The sequence below is a fragment of the Homo sapiens genome, chromosome 17 (assembly GCF_000001405.40).
Source record: "Homo sapiens chromosome 17, GRCh38.p14 Primary Assembly".
NCBI classification, from domain to species: Eukaryota; Metazoa; Chordata; class Mammalia; order Primates; family Hominidae; genus Homo; species Homo sapiens.
Window position 1 is genome coordinate 1,851,166 of NC_000017.11, and position 13,653 is coordinate 1,864,818.

The window sequence follows — 13,653 nt, forward strand, 5'->3', positions numbered from 1 at the left end:
TGAAAGATAAAAACTCTTAAAAAGACACTATCCCATTTCACACCTAAAAAAATACCGTCCGTGTTGTATTTCCATCTTGTTGTATATGTGCGTGTGTATGTGCGTGTGCGTGTGTGTGTGTGTGCCCACACAATCTATATGAATCAGAATCCAAAATAAGTTTCCTGTGACGGTAGATTGATGGTCTGTTAAGTCTCTCTGAATCTGTAGGCTCTGCGTCTGCCTTTTTTCTCCTTTACTGTTTATTTGCTGAAGAAACCAGGTCATTTATCCTTCACCTTGTGCAGTTTCCCCCAGTCTGGATTTGGCTGATTGCATCCCTGTAAAGTCACTTAATGTGTCCTTGTCATCTGTATTCTCTGTAAGTTGATATTAGTGTATTCTTTTAATATGCTGCTAGGTTCATCTTGCTGATATTTTATTTAGGATTTATGGGATATTGCAGGATGAAATTAGTTTTGGTTTTGTGTGTGTGTTTTGTCTTAGGTTTTAGTATTAGAGTCATACTAAATGATTCATAGGCCTTCTATTTTTATATGTTCTGGAGTGATTTGTATAATTTGGAAAGTAGTTAAATATCTGCCACTAAGTATCAGATAGTTATTACAGGGAATCTAGATACCATTTTCAGGAACAGATAATTTCAGGCTTATCTTATTGAAACTCTGATGTGAAACCTGATAAGGGTAGCACACACTGATTGATTGTATGTAAAAATCCAAATTATAGCAGTCAGACCATTTAAAACAAACGATTGATTGTATGTAAAAATCCAAAAACAGCAGTCAGACCATTTAAAGTCTAAAACGTGATGAATTTGGGTAGATTATTGCTTAAATATTGCCCTAGGCCTGTTTCTTCAGCTCCCTTGCCACTAACCTCATTCAGGCCTCTGTCATTTTGTCTCTTCTCTTGGTCTCCCTGCCTCCAGTCATGTTCCCATTAAATTCCTTCTTTTTAAAATGCAGACATTGTGATATGCTCATCAAGTATGTATTGAGCAACAACTGTGGGCCATTTGCTTCATTAAGCACTGAGGGATACCTGTCTTTATTGACAGTACAGTCTAGTAGGAGCGAGAGAGAATAATAAAATAATCACTAATGAACATATAATTAAGACGGAGCAGAGTGTTCTGAAGGAAAGAAATCAAGGCTGTAGGAAAGACTAGAACAAAGCAACCTGATCTCAACTAGAGATTAAGGAAGTGTCTCTTGAAGTGATGTTTGAGACGAGAGCTAAAAAATGAGTATTAGATGAGGCAAAATGAGAAGGAACACAACACCGCAATCTCAGAGCATCACGGACAAAGGCCTTGTGGCAAGAGGGACTGTCCCATGTGGTGGAACTGAAAGAAAACAGGAAGGCCAGAGGGCAGAGGGCAGAGGGCAGGCAGCGGCACGGGAGGGGGGTTAGCAAGGCCAGGCCAGGCAAGCCATGGCCCAGGTTTTTCTTTGTGGCCTAAGGTCATTGGGAAGTTATCACAACGTTTTAATTAGAGTTAAAAAGCAAAAGAACTGTAAGTTCTTAAAAATGGGTCATTATTACATTTTTTAAAATATCTATTGTCATAATTGGTTTTCACTGGGAAAAAGTCATTGTTGAGATAAGTATGTGTTTCTGAAAACAGTTCATCTCTTTTTATGCCATATATTCTTGTGTTTAGTAATCTAAATTCTTACCATGTCGGTTGGCTCCTTGAAGATACGGTGCGTAGCGAGAACACTGCATTTTAATTAAGGAACTAGTTGGGAACTGAAAACCCTGCAATCACTTGATAATGATGCGGCGAAAGATGAAGAGAAATATTTATGTAAACAGATGACAAATGGAAAATAGTTCATCACAATGATCATCGGGGAAAGCATTTTGAGTAGCTTATCATTTGAACAGAATTTGTTTTTCTAACCTGTTTCTGTTTGTCTGCTTTTGCAGGAGAGTAGTTATCTTGATGGAATTAGAAGTTTTGAAGTCAGCTGAAGCAGTTGGAGTGAAGATTGGCAATCCAGTGCCCTATAATGAAGGTAAAATGCTTTGGCGTAGGTTGTAGCACTCAAATGAATACCTCTTTATATATTCGGAGTTCTACCTTTTGGATTCAGTTTGACTTGTTAGTGTTAATAAAATGATAGTGATTCTGAGGTCTAGGAACCAGGCTATTCTGTCAGGCTTTTTCAGTTCTAAAGAAATGATGTATGAAGAAAGGGCACAATTAGAAAGCAATGGACAAACGGGTTGGGTGCACGGTGGCTCACACCTGTAATCCCAGCACTTTGGGAGGCCAAAGCAGGTAGATCACTTGACGTCAGGAGTTCGAGACCAGTCTGGCCAGCATGGCAAAACTCCGTCTCTACTAAAAATACAAAAAGTAGCTAGGCATAGAGGCCTGCGCCTGTAATCCTAGCTACTCAGAAGGCTGAGGCAGGGAAATCGCTTGAACCCAGGAGACAGAGGTTTCAGTGAGCCGAGATCGTGCCACTGCACTCCAGCCTGGGCAACAGAGTGAGACTCTGTCTCAAAAAAAAGTAAGAAAGTAATGGACAAAGATTCAGTTATACTAGACTAAAAAAAAATCTAGGATATCACAGTAATATAGGATACTACAGGATATCTGTAATATTAATGAGAAACGTGTTTTCCTAAGACTTATGTACACTTTTGTTTTTAAAAAGTGTGAAGCATGCAGTCTATACTCCTGTGATAACACTCACTGCACTGGTAGCTTTTAGAATTATCTCTATTTACTGCTAAGCCATGAGTAAACTGTGTGAAGGTAGAGATCATGTTTGTTCTAGTGCCTAACTTGAGGCTGGCGTTTAGTAAGTATTTGTTGAAACAAGTTGAATATATAACGTTGTTTTACTGTGATTATCTCTTGATGGTGAAATTACTAATGATTTAATTTTCTCATGAAAATGTATAGAAAAGCACATTGAAATAAAAAAAGTCCATTTTTTCTTTGCATCCTAAAAGAAGCTGAAAAAAAAGTCATTACTTCAGACAATTCTAGAGAAAGGCGAAAAGAATCTTCAAATCACTGGCCCCATTAAAGGAAAGGATTGTTTGCCCTTACACCAAGTCAAAACATAAAAGCCTCATTTGACACCAAAATAAATTTGAGATGTATTTTTTTCAAGTTAGAAAATGAAACCATCAAAAATCAAGAGGAAGAGGCTGCACAAATAGATTGGAATAATTCACAATGAATATTTGATTACATTGAAATTTTAAAATTACATATTAAAAATAGGAAACCAGGTACGGTACCTCACACCTGTAATCCCTGCACTTTAGGAGGCTGAGGTGGAAGAACTGCTTTGAGTGCAGGAGGACGAGACCAGCCTGGGTAACACAGGAAGACCCCATCTCTGCAATAATTTTTTAAAAACTTAGCCAGGTGTGGTGGCTCACACCTGTAGTCTCAGCTACTTGGGAGGATGAGGTGGGGGGATTACTTGAGCCTGGGAGGTTGAGGCTGCAGTCAGCTGTGATGGCACCACTGCCCTCCAGCCTGGGAACACAGCAAGTGTCCGCTATTCCCCACTGCAAAAAATTAAAAGTGTGTAAACTAGGATAAAATATTTGCAACTCATAGGATTGACAAAGGGTTACTATCTTTACTATTTATTGAATTTTTTTACATATTAAGGAATAAAGTACTTCATTAGCAAAGCAGGCATTGGAGAAAAATAGATGGTTCACTATAGAAGGAAAACAAATGGCTAATACATTAGAAAACATCTCCAGCCTGGCTCGTTATCTTTGTCTTGTTCCTGATCTCAGGGAGAAAGCGTTCAGACTTTCACCATTAAATGTCATGTTAACTGTAGGGTTTTCTTAGAGTCTTTTTATCAGAAGTAAAGAAGTTTATTTCTGTTCCTAGTTGGTGAGGGCTTTCATCAGAAATGGATGGTGAGTTTTGTCAAATGCATTTTCTGTGCTTGCTGATGATCTGATGATCATATGGTTTTCTTTGTTAGTTAATATGGTGAGTTACATTGATTGATTTTTTTTTTTGAGACAGTCTCATTGCATGACCCAGGCTGGAGTGCAGTGGTGCCTTCTAGGCTCACTGCAACCTCCGCCTCCCGGGTTCAAGTGATTCTCGTGCCTCAGCCTCAGAGTAGCTGGGATTACAGGTGTATGACACCACACCCGGCTAAAATTGTGTGTGTGTGTGTGTGTGTGTGTGTGTGTGTGTTTAGTAGAGACAGGGTTTTGCCATGTTGGCCAGGCTGGTCTCGAACTCCTGACCTCAAGTGGTCCACCCGCCTGGGCCTCCCAAAGTGCTGGGATTACATTGCGCTCAGCCACGTTGATTGGTTTTTGAGCGCTAAACCAATCTGGGATCTCTGGGATAAGTCTATGTCATGATGTATTATTCTTTTTACATATTGTTGGATTTGATTTGCTATATCCCTTTGATCTGATTTACTTTGTTTAGAATTGTTGTATCGGTATTCACGAGAGATATTTTTCTTTAGTTTTCTTCTATTGTTACATCTCTGATTTTGATACCTGAGTAACCCTGGCCTTATGGAATAAGTTGGGAAGTGTGTTCCGTTCTTAAATTTTCTGCAGCAGTTTATGTAGACTTGGTACTTCTTCCTTAGATGTTCAGTTGAATTCACCAGTGAAGTCATCTGGGCCTGATTTTTTTTTTTTAATGGAAAAGTCTTAAACTGTAAGTTCAGTTTCTTTAATAGAGAGATACAGGGTTATTCAAGCACCCTTCTTGAGTAGACTTTGGTAGATTATGTGCTTCAAGGAATTTAATTTCATTTAAGTTCTTGAATTTATTAGTCTATAGAAATATAAATATTCTAAACACCCCAATTATTAGAAATTATCAGATGGATTTAAAAAATATATTTCCAGCTGGGTGCAGTGGCTCACACTTGTAATCCCAACACCTTGGGAGAACGAGGCAAGCCGATCGCTTGCGCTTGGGAGTTCAAGACCAGCCTGCGCAACATGATAAAACCCAGTCTCTACCAAAAATACAAAAAATTAGCTGGATGTGGTGGCGCTCCTGCACCTGTGGTCCCAGCTACCTGAGCCCGGGAGGTGGAGGTTGCAGTAAGCCGAGATGGCACCAGTGCACTCTAGCCTGGGTGACAGAGTGAGACCCCATAAAAAAAAAAAAAAATGCCAGGTGCTGTGGCTCACGCCCATAATCCCAAAACTTTTGGGGAAGCTGAGGCGGGCGGATCACGAGGTCAGGAGTTGGAGACCAGCCTGGCCAATATGGTGAAACCTTGTCTCTACTGAAAAAATACAAAGATTATCTAGGCGTGGTGGCACGCACCTGTAGTCCCAGCCACTCGTGAGGCTGAGGCAGGAGAATCACTTGAACCCGGGAGGCGAAGGTTGCAGTGAGCTGAGATCATGCCACGGGCACTCCAGCTGGGCCGACAGAATGAGACTCTGTCTCAAAACAAAACAAAACGAAACTATATATAGTTTTTATTTATTTATTTAATTTTTATTTTTATTTAATTTTTACTTTTTTAATTTACTTTTTTTATTTAATTTTTTATATTTTTAGTAGAGACAGGATTTTGCCATGTTGGCCAGGCTGGTCTCGAACTCCTGCCCTCAAGTGATCTGCCTGCCTCAGCCTCCCAAAGTGCTGGAATTATAGCATATATATATATTATATAACATACATATATGTTTCCTTGTTATCCTTTGAGTGTCTGTAGAATTTGAGAGTTTCATCAATCTTATTGATCTCAAAGGAGCAACTTTTGGTTTTATTGATTTTCTCTTATGTTTTGTATTCTATTGATTTATGCTTTTTATCTTTATTTTCTTCTACTTACTTCGGGTTTTGTATATTTTTTTCTCGTTTCTTAAGGTGGAAGCTGAGTTCATTGACTTGAGATCTTTTTTTCTAACATAGGCATGTAGCATTATAAATCTGCCCTTAGCTACTGCTTTAAAAGTATCCAGCAAATTTGGATATGTTATATTCTCATTCATATTCAATTCATAATACTTTCTTATTTCCCTTTCAATTTCATCATTAACATTCTGTTATTTAGAAATGTGTTTAGTTTTTAAATGTGGGGATTTTCTCTTTTTTTCTTTTTCTTTTTCTTTTTTTTTTTTCAAAGATAAAATGAGTATTTAATTCAGTTTCAGAAAAAAAGGGTACATTACTTCGATGAGAAAGCATAAAATTAAGAGGCTTTTCTGGAAATCCAAGAAAAAGAAATAACCATTAATATGTTCAATGATAATTTTCTGGATCTTCCTCGTGTCCAAAGCTATATATTTTCTCCTCAAAAGCAGCTGCTCCAAGAACTAACTAGCCCTCTTTATCTCCCTCTAGCTGGGACAGACTAATTCCCCTCCACCCCCACCTCTCTTCTTTCAATAACACTGTGTAGGTGTTAATGGCCTGGGCTCTCACCAATGAAGAGAATTGTCCTTTAAGCCAGCAACCCACAGGTAGTGGCACCCAAAGCCTCACCAACCCACCCCCCACCCGGCCCGTCCCCAGGGCAGAAGCCACAGAGCTGGCATTGTTTCCACTGTCTCAGGAAGAAGGAGCCAAAAGCTGACCCTCAGCACAAATCAAAGCCCAATATGGAGAGAGAATAACTGCTTCTAGGCCGAGAGTAGGCAAGCTGTGGGCAAAAAAGGGGAGTTTTTGCAGCCACCTCATCTTTAGAAACAAGGGGAAAACTAGACCGTTTTCCACTATTAAGGTCTACCAGGTACTCTACTGCTCCAAGGAGATCTGAAAATACAAAAGGATCTAAACAAATAAGGAGAACTTTTCCCAGGCTGGAGATAAGAATGACAAACAGAAAGATGGGTGAATGTAATAATGTGTAGGAAGATGATGCTGGGAGCCTCCTTTCTTCACATGGCTGCCAGCCCCATAGAGGACAACACAGTAAGAACCAGGACAACCACTCCAGACTGGTATAGCTGGGGAATCTTCAGGCCTTTTCCTAGGTTCCACATCAAGTGTCGGATCCCATTCCAGGTATGATACATGAGAGGGAAGACGAGTGCAAACTTAGCTGTGTGGATCAGTGCTGGCCCCAGACACAGGGACTTCACAAGTTCCAAATAAGACTCAAAGTTCCCAGGGAGTAACACGGCCGACATGCCAAAAAGAGAGACCCCTGCACTCAAAGCAATACCAGTGCCACGGTGGCAGATGGACATCGCCATGGGAAGAGACCAATTTCTGATACAGAGCTGAGGGCTAAAGTGGGCTCGGAGGCAATGACGACCAACGTGTCTCAGCAACAGCGCAGCCATCTTGGGTTCTGGTCTCTCTTTTTCTTTTTTTTTTTGAGACAGAGTCTTGCTCTGTCACCCAGGCTAGAGTGCAGTGGCACAATCTCGGCTCACTGCAGCCTCCGCCTCCCGGGTTCAAGCGATCCTCCCACATCAGCCTCCTGAGTAGCTGGGACTATTGGTGTGTGCCACCATGCCTGGCTAATTTTTTATATTTTTAGTAGAGACGCGGTTTTGCCATGTTGGCCAGGCTGGTCTTGAACTCCTGCCCTCAAGTGATCTGCGTGCCTCAGCCTCCCAAAGTGCTGGAATTACAGACATGAGCCATCGTGCCAGCCAAATGTGGGTATTTTCTAGAGATCTTGTTCTTGATATCTAATTTAATTCTAGTATGATCAAACAACATACTTTGTATGACTTGAATCCTGTTAAATGTATTGTCTTATTTTGTTTTATTTTATTTATTTATTTTTATTTTATTTTTTTTTTTTTTTTGAGACAGAGACTCACTCTTTCACCCAGGCTGGAGTGCAGTGGCATGATCTTGGCTCACTGCAATCTCCACCTCCCAGGTTCAAGCGATTCTCCTATCTCAGCCTCCCAGGTAGCTAGGACTACAGGTGCCTGCCACCATGCCTGGCTAATTTTTGTATTTTTAGTAAAGACAGGGTTTTGCCGTGTTAGCCAGGCTGGTGTCAAACTCCTGACCTCGGATGATCTGCCTGCCTTGGCCTCCCAAAGTGCTGGGATTACAGGAGTGACCCACCTTCCCCAGCCTTGAGTCTTATTTTATGTCCAGATTATGGTCTCTCTTGGTAAATTCTGTGTGTACTTGAAAAGAATGTGTATTCTGTTGTTGGGCAGAGTCTTACAAATGTCAATTAGGTCGAGTCGGTAAATTGTGTTATTCAGTTTTTCTATATCTTTACTGTTTTTCTGTTTACTTGTTCTGTCATTTACTGAGAGGGATATTGAAATCTCTAACTGTAATAATTGTAAGTTTCTCTGTCTCTCTGCAGTTCTATTAGTTTTTGCTTCATGTATTTCAAAGCTGTATTATTAAATATCTATATAATTTAGAATTCTTGTGTCCACTTGATGAGTTGACTCTTATTATTATGAAATGATTTTATCCCTGGGAAATTCTGTGCTTTGAAGTCTGCTTTGATATTAGCATAGCCACTTTGGCGTTTTTTTTGTTTTGTTTTGTTTTTTCTCTCCTAGAGACAACATCTTGCTCTGTTGCCCAGGCTGGAGTACAGTGGTACATTCACGGCTCAGTGCAGCCTCAACACCTTGGGCTCAAGCAATCCTCCCACCTCCGCCTCCTGAGTAGCTGGGACTACAGGCATGTGCCACCACGCCCAGCTAATTTTATTTTGTTTTTTATTTATTTATTTATTTTTGAGACGAAGTCTCACTCTGTTGCCAGGCTGGAGTGCAGTGGCGTGATCTCGGCTCACTGCAACCTCCGCCTCCCAGGTTCAAGCGATTCTCCTGCCTCAGCCTCCTGAGTAGCTAGGGCTACAGGCACGCATCACCATGCTCAGCTGATTTTTGTATTTTTAGTAGAGATAGGGTTTCACCATGTTGGCCAGGATGGTCTCCATCTCTTGACGTCATGATCTGCCCGCCTCAGCCTCCCAAAGTGCTGGGGTTAAAGGCGTGAGCCACCATAATTGGCCTAATTTTATTTTTTGTGGACATGGAGTCCTGCCATGTTGCCCACACTGGTCTTGAATTCCTGGCCTCCAGCAATCCTCCTGCCTCAGCCTCCCAAGTAGTTGGGACTGCAGGCTGCACCTGTAGTCTGGGAGGTGGAGTGCCGGGCCTGCCTGTGGACTGCCTGGACTGGGGCTGGGACGGCAGTGCCACCACGCCCGGCTCATTTCTTTTCTTTTTATTTGTAGGGGCGGGGTCTCACTTTGTTGCCCAGGCTGGTCTCAAACTCCTGGCCTCAATCCTCCTGCCTTAGCCTCTCAAAAGGCTGAATTACAGGCATAAGCTACTGTGCCTGGCCATTGTGTATACTTTCTATTGCTAGCCGTTCAAGTTCACTAATGGTTTCTCAGGCAGTGCCTAATCTGCTGTTAATCCCATTGAGTGTATTTTTCTTCTCAGATAGTATAGTTTTTATCCCTAGAAGCTTGATTTTGGGTCTTTAAAAACTCATCTACATCTCTGCTTAATTTTTGGGACATACAGAGCACAATGACAGTATTTGTTGTAAGGTCCTTGTCTGTGGATTCTGGTGTCTGTGTTAGGTCCGGATTTGTTTCCGTCAGTTGATCCCGGCCTCTCCGATCATGGATCATATTTTCCTGCTGCTTTTCATGCCTGGCCCTCGGACCGAATGCCAGACATTGGGATTCGTACCTCGTTGGGTGCTAGAAACTTTTGTAATCCTGTAATTATTCTTGAGCTTTTTTCAGGGATACAGTTAACTTGGAGACAGTTTGATCTTTTGGTGTGTTGCTTTTAAGATTTATTAGAGAATCAGAGAGCTGCATTTAGTCTAGGTGTAGTTATTCCCAATACTGAATCGAGACCTGACAGACTGTTCTACCTCGTGCCCCATGAATATGAATTTTTCCCATCTGACTGGTAGAAACAGGTACTATTTCAAGCTTGCTGTAAACACAGGCATGGTTCCCTCTGGCCTTCTCAGATGATTCTCACCCTGGCCTCAGATCGTGTCCACACACACACACGGGCCAACCAGGACTCTGCTGACTACCCAGGAAACCTGCCACCCATTTCTGGAGTTCTCTGTGTACAGCCCTCTCTTCTCTGCTACTCTGTCCGGCCAGCTAGACGGCGATCTCCCCAGACTCTCGGCCCCCATTTCTGCACCTCGGGTTCTGGCAGGCCCCCTAAGCCCTTGAGGCACTGAGCTGGTGCAGACCCACTCGCTCGCTTTCCTGTGCACAGCAGGCGCTACCCCTCATTGAAAACCATGCGTCTCACGTATTTTCTCCCTTTCTGGTGGGGGGAGGGGGTTATGTTAGGTGTTAGGGTGAACCTGGTCTCTGTTGCTCCATTTGTCCGGTACGTAGTTTTAAAAGTTGAATATTTTTGCGAGGTGTGTCCTTAAAAACAAAACAGCATTCTCCTGCCTCACTTTTCTTTGGCCTCTGACTCCTGTCTAGAGACAGTCTGTTTCAAATCTCACAGCTGTTTCTTCTCTGTTTGTCTCCATATTTCTAAATAACACATTTGTGCTGCTCTTCGTTAATTTTTTCAGTTGAAACATTTGTTTATTAACTTCACGCTATGGGAGATTAGAATGTGGTGCTCTCTCTTTTTTTTTTTTCTTTTTTAAGAGTCTCACACTGTCACCCAGGCTGGAGTCCAGTGGCGTGATCTTGGCTCACTGCAACCTCCGCCTCCTGGACTCAAGCAATCCTCCTTGCCTCAGCCTCCTCAGTAGCTGGGATTACAGGCGTGCACCACTGCACCCTGCTAATTTTTGTTTTTATTTTTTTATTTTTTGAGACGGAGTCTCACTGTGTCGCCCAGGCTGGAGTGCAGTGGCGCGGTCTCGGTTGACTGCAAGCTCCACCTCCCGGATTCACGCCATTCTCCTGCTTGAGTAGCTGGGACTACAGGCACCCACCACCATGCCCGGGTGATTTTTTTTGTATTTTCAGTAGAGACGGGGTTTCACTGTGTTAGCCAGGATGGTCTCCATCTCCTGACCTCGTGATCTGCCCGCCTCAGCCTCCCAAAGTGCTGGGATTACAGGCGTGAGCCACCGCCCCCAACCGTATTTTTTTTTTTTTTTTTTTTTTTTTGTAGCGATGGAGTCTATGTTGTCCAGGCTGGTCTTGAACTCCTGGGCTCAAGCAATCCGCCCACCTGAGCCTCCCAAAGTGCCAGGATTACAGGTGTGAGCCACAGCGCCCAGCTTAGAATGTAGCTCTCTTATACCTCTCTTGTCCCTGCTGTCCACATGGAAGAAGTAGATGTTAATATCGATTAGCTCAATATTTATTTATTTATTTATTTATTTGAGATGGAGTCTCACTTTGTTGCCCAGGCTGGAGTGCAGTTGCATGATCTTGGCTCACTGCAACCTCCACCTCCCAGTTCAAGCTATCCTCATGCCTCAGCCTCACCAGTAGCTGGGATTACAGGCACACACCACCATGCCCAGCTAATTTTTGTATTTTTAGTAGAGATGGGGTTTCACCATGTTGGCCAGGTTGGTCTCGATCCCCTGACCTCAAGTGATCCGCCCACCTTGACCTCCTAAAGTGCTAAGATTATTGGCGTGAGTCACTGTGCCCAGCTTTTTTTTTTTTTTTTTTTTTTGAGATGAAGTTTTGCTTTGTTGCCCAGGCTGGAGTGCACTGGAACGATCTCCGCTCACTGCAACCTCCCCCGGGTTCAAGTGATTCTCCTGCCTCAGGCTCCCAAGTAGCTGGGATTACAAGTGCCCGCCACCACGCCCAGCTAATTTTTGTATTTTTAGTAGAGACGAAGTTTCACCATGTTGGCCAGGCTAGTCTCGAACTGCTGACCTCAGGTGATCTGCCTGCCTCAGCCTCCCAAAGTGTTGGGATTACAGGCGTGAGCCACCGTGCCCGGCCAAGATTTATTTATTTAGTTATTTGGAGACAGGTTCTTGCTTTGCCATCCAGGCTGGAGTGCAGTGGCTCAAAAAGGGCTTACTGTAGCCTCAACCTCCCAGGCTCAAGTGATCTTCCCACCTCAGCTTTCCCAGTAGCTGGGAGCGTGAACCACCACGCCCAACTAATTTATTTTATTTTATTTTATTTTATTTTATTTTATTTTATTTTTTTGAGACGAGTCTCACTCTGTCACCCAGGCTGGAGTGCAATGGCACAATCTCGGCTCACTGCAACCTCCACCTCCCGGGCTCAAGCGATTCTCCTGCCTCAGCCTCCCGAGTAGCTGGGATTACAGGTGCCCGCCACCACACTCAGCTAATTTTTTTTATTTTTAGTAGAGACGGCGTTTCACCACGTTGGCCAGGCTGGTCTCGAACTCCTGACCTCAGGTGATCCACCCACCTTGGCCTCCCAAAGTGTTGGGATTACAGGTGTGAGCCACCGTGCCTGGCCCCAACTACTTTTTATATTTTTTTGTAGAAACAGAGTTTTGCCATGTTGTCCAGGCTGGTCTTGAGCTCCTGAGTTCAGGTAATCCACCTGCCTCGGTCTCCCAATGTGCTGGGATTACGAACGTGAGCCCCTGCAGGGGGCCGACATCAAAATTTAAATGGCCAGTCAGATTGAAGTTTTTCTATGAAACATATCTTGCTTTATTAAAAATTTAAAGTTTTCAAAACATACTTGTAGAAGGCAATTTTCAAATGGTTGTTATGTTTTCAGATATTTTTAGTAATCAGAACAACATAATTTTATTGTTTTACTAATCAGCCAATTTTTGAACTAAATCTGAAGTCACTAAGAGATGATGGTCAATCATGAATATTTGGAAAAAAATTTGTGATATAATTTATAGAAAAGAAATGTTCAGAGTGTATTGAATAATTTTAATAACATATAACTAATTAAGTACATATATTAACTAATTATAACTGTGACATTGAAAATATAAAATCGACTTTAAGCTGGTCAGCATCAAGAAGCTGGAAGATGTTCATGTGGCTTATTTGAAATCTTCCGCTGTGTATCTCCTCCTTCCCAAATGATTTCTCAGTAGGAAGCTATGTTTGAACTCAGAGAAGGAGCTGTTTCTTAAAAATTAAACTGTCTCTGCTGCTCCCAATAGACAAAGGTGCTTAGCTGGTTCCCACTGAAGTACACTAATTCACTGTCTTAATTTAAATTTACCAATATATGCGGGGCATAGTGGCCCATGCCTGTAATCCCAGCACTTTGGGAGGCTGAGGTGGGCGAATCACCTGAGGTCAGGAGTTTGAGACCAGCCTGGCCAACATGGTGAAACCTCGTCTCTACTAAAAATACAAAAAAATTAGCTGGGCATAGTGGCACGCGCCTGTATTCCCAGCTACTAGGGAGGCTGAGGCAGGAGAATCGCTTGAACCTGGGAATCGGAGGTTGCAGTGAGCTGAGATTGCACCATTGTACTCCAGCCTGGACAACAAGAGTGAAACTCTGTCTCAAAAATAAATAAATAAAAATAACTTTAACAACATAGTTCTTCAATTAGTCCATAACTAACTTTTACTATTAGTAGGGTTTTCACTTAAGGGTAAGTGGAATTGAACCCAGTAATTCTTAGGCTGGACCTTAGGTGGATCACCTGAGGTCAGGAGTTCAAGACCAGCCTGGCCAACATGGTGAAACGCCGTCTCTACTAAAAATAAAAAAAATTAGCCGAGTGTGGTGGCGGGCACCTGTAATCCCAGCTACTCGGGAGGCTGAGGCAGGAGAATCACTT

General features: G+C 42.5%; 1 protein-coding gene and 1 pseudogene across 3 annotated transcripts in view; one reads left to right on the forward strand and one right to left on the reverse strand.

Moving 5' to 3' along the window:
* RPA1 (replication protein A1) overlaps nt 1–13,653 on the forward strand; it is a 70,078-nt gene that overhangs the window by 21,161 nt on the left and 35,264 nt on the right. For all 3 annotated transcript variants that reach the window (NM_001355120.2, NM_002945.5, NM_001355121.2), the window contains exon 5: nt 1,936–2,024. In NM_001355120.2, the coding sequence (NP_001342049.1) occupies nt 1,936–2,024 (89 nt within the window). The remainder of the gene's footprint in view (nt 1–1,935; nt 2,025–13,653) is intronic.
* On the reverse strand, nt 6,114–7,296 carry SDHCP5 (SDHC pseudogene 5; annotated as a pseudogene).